Genomic DNA, 12,511 nt, shown 5'->3' on the forward strand with positions numbered 1-12,511 from the left:
TTGGGAGGCCAAGATGGGTGGATCACCTGAGGTCAGCAGTTTGAGACCAGCGTGGCCAACATGGTGAAATCCCGTCTCTACTAAAAATACAAAAAATTAGCCGGGCATGGTGGCGGGTGCCTGTAATCCCAGCTACTTGGGAGGCTGAGGCAGGAGAATCATTTGAACCCAGGAGGCAGAGGTTGCAGTGAGCCGAGATCACACCATTGCACTCCAGCCTGGGCAACAAGAGCAAAACTCCATCTAAAAAAAACCCACATTTTCATGAATATCAGCCATCAACAATGCAGAAAGTAATAGACTAGTCTTCTGAATTATTAACCCTAGCAATTGTCACCAAGTGAAAACCTCGGTCACTAAAACTTCTTGGAATAGCATTCAAGGTCTTGCTTTAACACAAAACCCCAAAACTTGGCGGTACAAAACAACCATTTTCTGATGGATCGGGAATCCATGTCTGAAGTCTCAGCTAAGAAGACTCCAAGGCTGGGTTCCAGGCTGGAACTGCCTGGGGCATCTCCCCACACACACACTGGTACTTGGCTGGACCACCAGCAGGTTCTACTCCCCGTGTTTCTTCACAGTTTGTCAGTTGGGCTGATTTGGGTTTGCTCACAGAGTATCAGCCAAGATCCCAAGATCAAGTATCCAAAGAGAACCCGGTGGGACTTATATTTCCTTTTATGGCCTAGCCCTGGAATATGTGGCATCTCTCTGTCCATAGTCACAGAGGGAAGAAACAGATGGCATCTCTCAGTGGGGAACCAGAATCATATGGTTAAAAGAACACATGGGATGGACAGGTTGCCACCATTGTTGGCATACATTAATAAAGTCTGCCATGGGCCGGGTGCGGTGGCTCACGCCTGTAATCCCAGCACTTTGGGTGGCCGAGGCGGGCGGATCACGAGGTCAGGAGATCGAGACCATCCTGGCTAACACAGTGAAACCCCGTCTCTACTAAAAATACAAAAAAATTAGCCGGGCGTGGTAGCGGGCGCCTGTAGTCCCAGCTACTCGGGAGGCTGAGGCAGGAGAATGGCGTGAACCCAGGAGGCGGAGCTTGCAGTGAGCCGAGATCGCGCCACTGCACTCCAGCCTGGGCAACAGAGCGAGACTCTGTCTCAAAAAAAATAAAAAAATAAAAAAATAAAGTCTGCCATGGCACCCCATAGCATTTAGACACCCACCTTTCTAGCCCTACCTCCCACTTAGTGATTGTCTGTAAATACGCACGGCCTTACCTTGGCACTGAGAGAGATGCATGGCTGAGTAGGTGTCATCTCATCTGTAAGAAGCAATAGCAGAGGGGATGCAGAAGGAGCTGCTCTGTTCTGCTCATTGTCACCTGCTCCTCTGCACACCTTCCTTCATGCTCTTCCCTCAGCCTCTCCCCAGCTCACACCCCTTTATTTGAAACTCTGCTCATTTTTCAGGCCCTGCTTCAATGCCACCACCTCCGTGCAGCCTCCTCTGATGTTTGTCATTAGCTTAGCTCTTCCGTGTGTGCTCCTGCACCACTGATCCCTTCCACAACATGGACTGTCTGTGATGCACGTGTGCAGGATGCTGGGAATGCCCAGGTGGAAAGACACACGTGCTGCCCCCAGGAACTGACTGACTGGTAGGCACAGTACAGATACCAGTGGTGAGGACAGTGAGGATTCTTCCCTTCTGACCCTTTGCAGATGGTAAAGGAAGGAACTCGTCACCTAATTCCCCCGACTGCCCGTTAAGAACAAAATCCCTTGAAAAATTCCAAAAGCTTTAACTCTGATAACTGTTAAGGTACTAAACAAGAGGATAATGGGGCAAGGAAAATGGGGGCAGTGTAGTGCAGAAGTCTGACCCTCAAGAGCAGAGGAGCTTGGTCCTAGCCAGTTTGGTTTCAGGCCTACAGTGGCATTTGGTATTTTGAGCTCACCTCTCTTTTTCTCTTGGAGTGACTGCTTCCTGCATCTGCTGCATCTCCGTGGGCTCCCCTCAGACCCTCTTCTGAAGGCCTGGGGTGTCTCTCCTGCCACCATGCCTGTGTCTGCAGGTGCCTGCCACCAGCCCCAGTCTGCTGCACGGGCCCTGGCAAGTAGAAAGCACTTGCCTTCTGACCACACGGGGAGCTGAGGGTCAGAGACGGAACCAGGGCTCGACCCTCCACCTTGAAACCTTGAGATGGGGATGCTCCTCATTCTAGCCAGTTCCTCCTCAGCTCTCAAAACAAGGAACAGATGCTCAGGAAACCAGATCTGGACAAAAGTCATCTGAGCCTGGTGTGAGGCAGATTCCAGAAGTTTAGTTACAGACATCCTTTATAAGGAGACTTCATCGGGAATTCAAGACAACCTGGTGATTCATTGAAATTTGCCTGTGAAAGAGAATCTACATAGACTTCCTGCCACCTCTTGAGATGTGACAGTTGCTGACCCTCCCGCCACCACACAGGGCGAGCCCCTAGCCCTGAGCTTGAACCATGTTGCTTGCACAAATAGCTGGGTGATTTAGAAGTGAGGTCAGCTGTGCCAGCAGTTACAGGGTGGTGGTTGTCTGTAACTTTAATCCACTGACTGTTGTACTAGGGCAGTTTGGGCTAGACACTTTGGAGGAGCTCCTGTGAAGGGCATGAAGGCTCACTGTAGCAGCAGCTCAGTTGTCTTTCAGAGTTCTGCCCTTAGAGCTGGTTTGCAGTGCTCATCCTTCTTGCTGATATTTTAAAATAGGTAGAAACAGGCTGGGCGCGGTGACTCATGCCTTTAATCCCAGTACTTTGGGAGGCCTAGGTGGGCAGATCACCTGAGGTCAGGAGTTCGAGACCAGCCTGACCAACATGTTGAAACCCCGTCTCTACTAGAAATACAAAAATTAGCCAGGCGTGGTGGCGCGCACCTGTAATCCAGCTACTCAGGAGGCTGAGACAGGAGAATCGTTTGAAGACAGGAGAATCGTTTGAACCCAGGAGGTGGAGGTTGCAGTGGCAGTGAGCCAAGATACCGCCACTGCACTCTAGCCTGGGCAACAGAGCAAGACTCCATCTCAAAATAAATAAATAAATAAAAATAAAATAGGTAAAAACAAATTATAAAGTAATACAATTATGAACTGCAAATAATAAAACATAAAAATTACTTTAAAAAAATTTAAAGAGGCCGGGCACAGTGGCTTATGCCTGTAATCCCAGAAATTTGGGAGGCCGAGGCAGGAGGATCACTTGAGCCCGGGAGTCCAAGACCAGCCTCGTTAATATAATGAGAGCTTATCATCTCTACAAAAAATAAACAAAATTAGCCAGGCATGGTGGCATGTGCCTGTAGTTCCAGCTACTCAGGAGGCTGAGGTAGGAGGATCACTGGAGCCCAGGGGGTGGAGGAGCAGTAAGCCAAGATTCTGCCACTGCACTCCAGCCTGGCTGACAGAGTAAGACCCTATCTCAAAAAACAAAAAGCAGAAAGAACAAAGAAGTAAACAAAAGCTTAAAAGTAAATCAGCCAGGTGCAGTAGCTCATGCCTGTAATCCCAGTACTTTGGGAGGCCTAGGCAGGCAGATTACTGCAGGTCAAGAGTTTGAGACCAGCCTGGCCAACATGATGAAACCCTGTCTCTACTAAAACTACAAAAATTAGCCAGGCATGGTGGTGCGCACCTGTAATCCCAGCTACTCCGGAGGCTGAGACAAGAGAATCGCTTGAACCTAGGAAGTGGAGGTTGCAGTGGCAGTGAGCCAAGATAGCGCCACTGCACTCCAGCCTGGGCAACAGAGCAAGACTCCATATATGGAGATCCCTTGAGATCAAGAGTTCGAGACCAGCCTGGCCAACACGGCAAAACCCTGTCTCTACTAAAAATAAAAAAATTAGCCAGGCATGGTGGCGCACACCTGTAGTCCCAGCTACTGAGGAGGCTGAGACAAGAGAATCACTTGAACACAGAAGGCAAAGGTTGCAGTGAGCTGAGATTATGCCACCACACTCCAGCCTGGGTAACAGAGTGAGACTCCGTCTAAAAAAAAAAAAAAATCGGGCAGTTGTGATGGCTAACACCTGTAACCCCAGCACCTTTAGAGGCCCAGGTGGGAGGATCCCTTCAGGCCAAGAGTTTGAGATGAGCCTGGGTAACATAGGGAGAGCCTGCCTCTACAAAAAAAAAAATAATAAAAAAATAAAAATTAATGCGTGCGTGCTACTTGGGAGGCTGAGGTAGGAGGATTCCTTGAGCCCAGGAGTTTTGAGGTTACAGTGAGCTGTGATTGAGCCACTGCATTCTAGCCTGGGTGACAGTGAAACCCTGTCTCTAAAAAGTAAATAAATAAAAGTAAATAGTAACTAAAGTAAAACTCTAGAAACATTTACAGTTACTACAGAGGAACTTTAAAACAGTTTAAGCAATAAATACAAGAGGACTAAAAAACACAAAAGTTTTTACAATTTCTAACAGACTGCATCAATTGGCAAATTGATTCCATTTATGATTGTTAAAATAGGTGAATAAGATTAGATGACAAGATAACAAAAAAGGAATACGTTATTTATTTGTTTATTTCAGACAGAGTTTTGCTCTTGTTGCCCAGGCTGGAGTGCAATGGCATGATCTGGGCTCACTGCAACCTCTGTCTCCCTAGTTCAAGCAATTCTCCTGCCTCAGCCTCCCAAGTAGCTGAGATTACCGGCATGCGCCACCACGCCCAGCTAATTTTTTGCATTTTTAGTAGAGACGGAATTTCACCATGTTGGCCAGGCTGGTCTCAAACTCCTGACCTCAGGTGATTGACCCGCCTCAACCTCCCAAAGTGCTGGGATTACAGGTGTGAGCCACTGCACTGGGCCAAGAATAAGATTTTTAAAAACATTTTCGCATCTGGAGGCTCCAGGGGGCTTCCCTGAGAAACGGCAGCCTCTGCGGTCAGAGAGGCTGCAATTCAGAGCGTTCCCACAAACAGCACCATGTGCTCATGCTTACCTGCTTGGGTGTGTGAGTCACCTGGAGATGGGGTGCAGAAACATTGACATACCTGAGCTATCTTTCTTCCTCTGCCCTTTGCAGGTGTTTGATATACAGAGGAAAGTCACCTATAGGAACCTGAGCACCTGGTATACAGAGCTTCGGGAGTTCAGGCCAGAGATCCCATGCATCGTGGTGGCCAATAAAATTGATGGTGGGGCCATCCCTGCACCTGGGTGTTAGCAATTCACTGGGGACCTGCCCTCATACATTTCCTCCTCCATTCCCCGGGCAGGCAACCTTCAGTGATTGGTCCTCCCTCCCACGATAAGATACAACCCTTGGTTGGTTGCTTGCATTCTTCCCACCTTATAAAGAAGCCAGCTAAGCCGACCTGCCCTCTTTCCAAGACACAGATCCCTATTAACTGAGCTCTTTCTAGGACATGTTTCCCAATCATCCCTGCCTATCCCACTTTCTGGAATGAAGGCCTCCAGTGGCCCCCCCTCCAAACCTTCTTCCCTTCCCTTGACAGACCAATGTCCTACCTTCTCTCTACAGCAGACATAAACGTGACCCAAAAAAGCTTCAATTTTGCCAAGAAGTTCTCCCTGCCCCTGTATTTCGTCTCGGCTGCTGATGGTACCAATGTTGTGAAGGTGTGGTTGACTGCAGAGGTAGCTAGCAAGGTCAGGGCGCTAGGTGGTAAAGGGAAGCTGTGAAGAGAAGGGCTTACTGCAGGTGTGATGGAGAGAACTGGGACAGTGCATGGGCCTGGGTGGCAGGGAGGGGAGGAGCTGATGGGCCTGGACTTGATGAGGCAGAAGTCCATTGACCATACATAGGTCAGGGTGACGGGGAGAGGCAAATGGAGGGGTAAGGTTGCTGATTTTAGGAATGGAGTATTGTGTAGTCTCACAGTGGGGCCAGTGGGGTGGACTGGGCAGAGTCCAAGGCACTCTCATCCACCATCTCTACCTCACCCCCAGCTCTTCAATGATGCAATTCGATTAGCTGTGTCTTACAAACAGAACTCCCAGGACTTCATGGATGAGATTTTTCAGGAGCTCGAGGTAGGTCAGGTCCACATTTCGGGTGGGATGGAAGAAACGGCTCCTCTTCAGGGATAGGGACTACAACCCAGTAGAGTGACTCTTGCCTAAGTTTGCCCCACTAAATGTATCAGAGCTGCGGTTGAGCAAATGCAGGGCCAGGCCTCACCTGCGACCTTGTTCACAGAACTTCAGCTTGGAGCAGGAAGAGGAGGACGTGCCAGACCAGGAACAGAGCAGCAGCATCGAGACCCCATCAGAGGAGGTGGCCTCTCCCCACAGCTGAGGGGCTGGGGCTAGGGGTGGGTGGAGCCCTTTTAAAATACCCTTCCCTTCAACAACTCTCCAGCTCTGAATGGAGAAACTCTCTAGGCCATCCCCTCTTCTACCTCCTGCAACCCACCCATCCTATTAGCCTCCCACATTCAAGGCCCGTGATACAGGGATGAGGTCAGCACCAGCAAACTCTGGACTGGTGGAAGAATTCCCCACCAGATCTCCTTGAAGCAGAATTAGGGATCAGCATCATTAACACCTTCCCCACCCCCTCCCCCCAGGCAGACAGTGAAGAGAATCAGAAAACATGATTATGTGTCACTTTAATACAGGAAATTTAGGTGTTTTTTGGTGTTTTTGTTTTTGTTTTCTTTCCAAAGCTCACCTCGGGGACAATTCCTTGGGCTTCTCCTGAGGTAATGATTACCCCCCCACCCACAGCTGAGTCTGTGAGGCCCCATCCTTTCCCTACGTTTTCTCCCATCTTTTTTCCTCTTCAATCTCCCAGTCATCTGGTTTGTTTGTTTCTTTGTTCGTCCTGAGACGGAGTCTCGCTCTGTCGCCAGGCTGGAGTGCAGTGGCGCAGTCTCGGCTCGCTGCAACCTCTGACTCCCTGGTTCAAACGATTCTCCTGCCTCAGCCTCCCGAGTGGCTGGCATCACCACGCCCAGCTAATTTTTGTATTTTTAGTAGAGACGGGGTTTCACCATGTTGCCCAGGATGGTCTCGATCTCCTCACCTCGTGATCCGCCCGCCTCGGCCTCCCAAAGTGCTGGGATTACAGGCATGAGCCACCGCGCCCGGCCCCAATCATCTGTTTTTAAACAATCGTTTTTGAGCAGATAGCTATTCATTCCAGATTTCCGTGTACCCACTCTGTTTCAGGAGCTCTTCTAGGTAAAGCTGAGATCACAGGAACAGCAGGTGACAGGCCTAGCTATAGTTAGGAATACACAAGCGGTAAAATCGAGTCCTTACAGCCATACCACAAGGTACGTCCATTTGGACTACAAGAAGAGCTTCCTTTAAAGTTCCTATTTCAGCATAAAGAGGCTGTCCTTTTTTTTTAGGAATAGTTTGGACCTTGTGCCTCCTGTGGGAGGCTGAGGACTGCAAGAGGAGAGCTAGCAGATATGCCTGTTCACCCCTCTCTGGTACTTGTGGCTTGCTAGTATGTTTTTATGATAATCTCGGGCATTGTTTGCATTGTGTTTATTAATAGGGTTTTGTTTTTATTGTTTCCTTTTTTACAGTAAAGGCTGAATGACATAAACATTGAGTAAATGTATGTGCTTTGTGGCTCTGAAGTGTGTACTGAGCAAAAAGACAAAAGAATCTGCAAATCATCACCCTTATCAATGAAGGGTAGCTGCCTTGACCTGTTGCAGGGTAGCCCATGTTTACTCTCAATTCACTATATTGGAGGCCATTTCAGTGGAATTTAGTGTTTTCAAAAGAATTCAATTACCTATTAATTTGGGAGCTCAAGAACAAGTACATTTCCCCTTGAAATCAGCAATACTTAGATGTTCAACGTAAGATGTTTGACCTGACCAGGGGTTCCCAGGAACGTATACCCTGATGAGGTAGAACTTAAAAAAATGTAGTTACTGTAAATAACTACTAAGTACTTTAAAAAAAATACAACAGCCTTACTGAGATAGAATTTGCAGACTATAAAGTTCACCATCGTGTTGGTTTTATGGGACTATTCTGTATCAGGTTCCTTAGAAGCTGACCCTGAGAAGGCCGTGGTTCAAATGACTTAATTAGGGTCATTCTCAGAAGAGTGAGGGGGGCAGGAGACAAGAAGCTCAGCAAGGTTGTGGTCTCAGCTGGAGGCCGGCTTCACCACCCCACCCCGTCCCAGGGAAGCTCTGGAGGGCAAATTGCCCTCCAGAGTTAGTCCTACCTCAAGACCAGGGGCCTTTTGTGCCCTTCAGCCAAGGGTGTGAGGTGGAAGGGGGCCTTCTGTTTCAGTAAGGTCAGTTCTCTGGGGAAAAGGGTAACTGTGCGCTTCCAACTCAAAGCAATTGGAGGATGAATGTTTAGGCAGGGTGCCAGCAACATCCACAAGCCACCCATGTGTACATTGCTCAGATCCACCTGCTTCTTAAAGTTCATTCCATCCAGGTAGAGCTGCTCCATGTTTCTAACTGGTCACCAGTCCTGGGGGAATGTACAAGAGAAGGGTCAATGGGAAAGGACAAACCATAGCCCCTGCTATTGTAGTTGGACCCCATGCAGAGACTGATACTTGTCACCTCTCATTCTCTGGCTAGCACTTTTGCTGGTCTAGGTTGTTTGCCTGGGGGGTTGATCCTGCTCCTCTTGCCTAATGGGGTATGAGCCCCTGCTTACTATGCCTTTATGAGGCGGTGGTTGTTAACACTTACATAGTTATATCTAAACATGCAAGTACCAAGAGACAGCATGAATCATCTGAGTACCAAATACAGTGCTCCTTCCTATTATTATCTGGCAACATCCTTTCTTCCTAATGACGATTACAGGCAATCACCTCTTTCCAGAATGCTAACTCTGCTTGCCAGTTACAAGCGCATGGACTGTCTAGGAAGCAGCCATAGCTTTGTGTTTAGTGAAACTCTTACTGTATCACTTGGTGGAAATGCCTCCCCCACTCCCCACACTGCCACTCACAGAGTCCAAGACTTCAGCTCACAGAGCCTAAAGCTGTAGACACAAACACAGATTCCCCAAGTGTGTCACTGAGAGTGCTAGCGAGCGGGGCGCTCCTATGTCCACTCCTTGGTTACTAGACATGTTGGGGACATAAAACCATATAATGAATATTAAGTTGTATATCACATCATGAAGGACCCCATCCTTACAGGGTATCATATCCGAGATCGACATCTCTGCTATCCACAAAGATAGGAAAGACTCAGAAGTGGAGTGACATCAGGAAAATGGCAGAGTAGACAGCTCCAAACTCCTGTCCCTCTACAGAAACATGGAGAAAAAGCAGCAGAAACTTTACCAGAACTCTGGAAAACAGTAAAAGACTTATATCAATCAGGAAAGCCCTGAAATGAGGAAAGGGCAACTTCAAAGTGACAGAAAAGTGGTGTGGCATTTTCACTTGCCCTTGCCCCACCCCTTCATCAGCTTGATGGTGATCTTGAAGATAGTAGTCCATTTTCCCAATTTAGGACCCAGGTCCCAGGTTCCAGAGGGAGCAAGGCAGACCTTATTCACAAATGACTTTGTTTGTCTATTCTAACCGGTCAGAAACGATCTGAGAGACTAAAATGAGGCATTTGTCTGTTTTGCCCAAGTCTGAATCCACTCAAGGTAGAAAAGTGGCAGGCATTGCTTAAAAACATTCTGAGATGACCAAAAAACCCACAGCTCCCTGGGACAAAAAGTTGTGGTTCAGACATACAATATATTACATAAAGCCTGGGAGGAAAATCTGGGAGAGTTTCTTTGGGAAATCAGGACATTCAAAAAATACTTGTGTTTATTGGGGATTTCAAATGTCATGCACATACCCAGGGCAGGTCACGCATTCAGGAAAGATCTGAGAAGACCCTAAGCTTTTTCCTTTGGAAGATCTCTAGGTCCAGGGTTATCAAGAAGTGAAGGCTAAGACAGAGTTGTTAATATCCTGGTTAGGTGTTGAAGGAATGCCCCAGCACAAAGCCAATCTGCAAAGATTGAAAGAGATGCTTAAAAAAATTTTTTTTTTCAACCACGGATGAATACATAAAGAAAATGTGGCATATACGTACAATGGAACATCATTCAGCCTTTTTAAAAAAGGAAATCCTGGCCTGGCGCAGTGGCTCACGCCTGTAATCCCAGCACTTTGGGAGGCCGAGGCCAGCGGATCACAAGGTCAGGAGATCGAGACCATCCTGGCTACGGTGAAACCCCATCTCTACTAAAAATACAAAAAAAAAAAAAAAAAAAAACTAGCCAGGCATGGTGGCGGGCACCTGTAGTCCCAGCTACTTGGGAGGCTGAGGCAGGAGAATGGCGTGAACCCAGAAGGCAGAGCTTGCAGTGAGCCTAGATCACGCCACTGCACTCCAGCCTGGGCAACAGAGCGAGACTCAGTCTCAAAATAAAATAAAATAAAATAAAATAAAAAGGAAATCCTTCCATTTGCAGCAAATATACTAAGTTAAAGAAGCCGGACACAGTAGGACAGATACTACATGATCTCACTTACATAAGGAATCTAAAATATTCAAACTGAGAAGCAGAGAGTAGAATGGTGGTTGCCAAGGGCTAGGGGGAGGAGGAAACAAGCAGGCATTGCTCATTGGGTGCAAAGCTTCAGCTATGCCGGAGGGATGAGTCCTAGAGACCTCCTGTACAGCATAGTGACTATAGTTAACAACACTGTATTACATACTTAAAGATTTACTGGAAATAGATCTTATGTTAAGTGTCCTTATCACAAAACATGAGAATTAGAAATGAAGAGAGAGGGAGCAAACTTTTTGAAGTGATGAATATGTTTATGGCATTCATTGTGGTGACGTTTTTATGGGTATATACTTATTTCAAACTCATCAAGTGGTATACCTTAAATATGTATATCGATAAAATGGTTTTTAAAAATACATGAAGCAAATGCACATTTCTCCAAAGAAAATATACAAATGGCCGATAAGTACATGAAAAGATGCTCAACATCATTAGTCATGAGAGAAATGCAAATCAAAACCAGAATGAGATGCCACTTACTGGTAATGAAAAAGATAATAGCAAGTGTTAATGAGGCTGTGGAGAAATCGGAACCCTTATACACTGCTGAGGAGGAAGTAAAATAGTGCAGGCACTTTGGAAAACAGTTTGGCAGTCCTGGAATGGTGAAATATCGAGTTAACCATATGATCCTGCAAATCTACTCCTAGGTATACACTCAAGAGAAATGAGAACATGTGCTCACAGAAAAGCTTGTATATGAGTGGTTATAGCAGCACTATCCATAATAACCAAAAAGCTGGAAATAATCCAAATATCCATAAAATGTGGTATATCCACACGATGAAATATTACTCAAAAATACAAAGAAATGAAGTGCTAATATGTGCTACAACATGGATGAAACTGAAAAAAAAGTATGTTGAATGAAAGACGCCACGTATAAAGCACCGCAGGTTGTGCGATTTCATTAATATGAAATGTCCAGAACAGGCAAATCTACAGAGACAGAAAGATTACTGAACAGAAAGATTACAGACAAAAATAACAGATAGTGGTTGTTTAGGGTGGGGGGGTTGCCGGTGAAGTTGGGAAGGAATTTGGTGGGGGCCAGGAAGCTAAGGGTACAGATTTTCAAGTAACGAGAATACTTTAAAATTAATTGTGGGTGGGTGCAGTGGCTCACGCCTGTAATCTCAGCACTTCGGGAGGCCAAGGAGGGCAGATCACTTGAGGCCAGGAATTCAAGACCAGCATGGCCGACATGGCAAAACCCCGTCTTTACTAAAAACATTAAAATTAGCTGGGTGTGGCGGCACATGACTGTAGTCCCAGTTACTAGGGAGGCTGAGATGAAAGGATCGCTTAAGCCCAAGAGTTCAAGGCTGCAGTGACCTATGATTGCACCACTACACTCCAGCTGGGATGACAGAATGAGACCCTGCCTCTAAATAAAATAAATACATAAATAAATAAGAGAAGTCCAGCAGCATATTAAAAGGATAATACACATGACTAAAGTGGAGTTTATCCCAGGAGTGCAATGTCAGTTAAACATTTAAAAATTATTTAATGGGGCCGGGCGCGGTGGCTCACGCCTGTAATCCCAGCACTTTGGGAGGCCGAGGCGGGCGGATCACGAGGTCAGGAGATCGAGACCATCCTGGCTAACACAGTGAAACCCTATCTCTACTAAAAAATACAAAAAAAATTAGCCGGGCATGGTGGCGGCCACCTGTAGTCCCAGCTACTCGGGAGGCTGAGACAGGAGAATGGCATGAACCCGGGAGGCGGAGCTTGCAGTGAGCTGAGATCGCACCACTGCACTCCAGCTCGGGCGACAGAGTGAGACTCCGTCTCAAAAAAAAAAAAAAATTAATGGGCCTGGGCACGGTGGCTCACGCCTGTAATCCCAGCACTTTGGGAAGTCAAGGTGGGCGGATCCCGAGGTCAGGAGTTCGAGACCAGCCTGGCCAACATGGTGAAACCCCGTCTCTACTAAAAATACAAAAAATTAGCCAGGCGTGGTCGTGGGCGCCTATAGTCCCAGCTACTCGGGAGGCTGAAGCAGGAGA

The 12,511-nt window shown here is 47.1% G+C and overlaps 1 protein-coding gene and 1 long non-coding RNA gene across 63 annotated transcripts in view; one reads left to right on the plus strand and one right to left on the minus strand.

The window, feature by feature from the left end:
- Nucleotides 1–7,530, plus strand: part of RABL2A (RAB, member of RAS oncogene family like 2A) — a 16,127-nt gene extending 8,597 nt beyond the window's left edge. For 13 of the 62 annotated variants that reach the window (XM_017003207.2, XM_047443039.1, NM_001354409.2 and 10 more), the window contains 4 exons: nucleotides 5,032–5,143; nucleotides 5,491–5,618; nucleotides 5,919–6,002; nucleotides 6,169–7,530. In XM_017003207.2, the coding sequence (XP_016858696.1) occupies nucleotides 5,032–5,143; nucleotides 5,491–5,618; nucleotides 5,919–6,002; nucleotides 6,169–6,267 (423 nt within the window). In that variant the 3' untranslated portion in view covers nucleotides 6,268–7,530. Of the gene's footprint in view, nucleotides 1–1,436; nucleotides 5,619–5,918; nucleotides 6,003–6,168 lie in introns of those variants that run through there. The other 49 variants (NR_148881.2, NR_148880.2, NR_148882.2 and 46 more) reach the window with 17 other exon arrangements.
- On the minus strand, nucleotides 7,482–10,032 carry LOC112268423 (uncharacterized). Its single transcript, XR_002959416.2, has 2 exons — nucleotides 9,110–10,032; nucleotides 7,482–8,426 (listed from the first exon to the last, which is right to left on the minus strand). It is a non-coding gene; the product is annotated as an uncharacterized LOC112268423 (long non-coding RNA).
- Nucleotides 10,033–12,511: the final 2,479 nt, after the last annotated feature.

The sequence above is a fragment of the Homo sapiens genome, chromosome 2, assembly GCF_000001405.40.
Source record: "Homo sapiens chromosome 2, GRCh38.p14 Primary Assembly".
NCBI classification, from domain to species: Eukaryota; Metazoa; Chordata; class Mammalia; order Primates; family Hominidae; genus Homo; species Homo sapiens.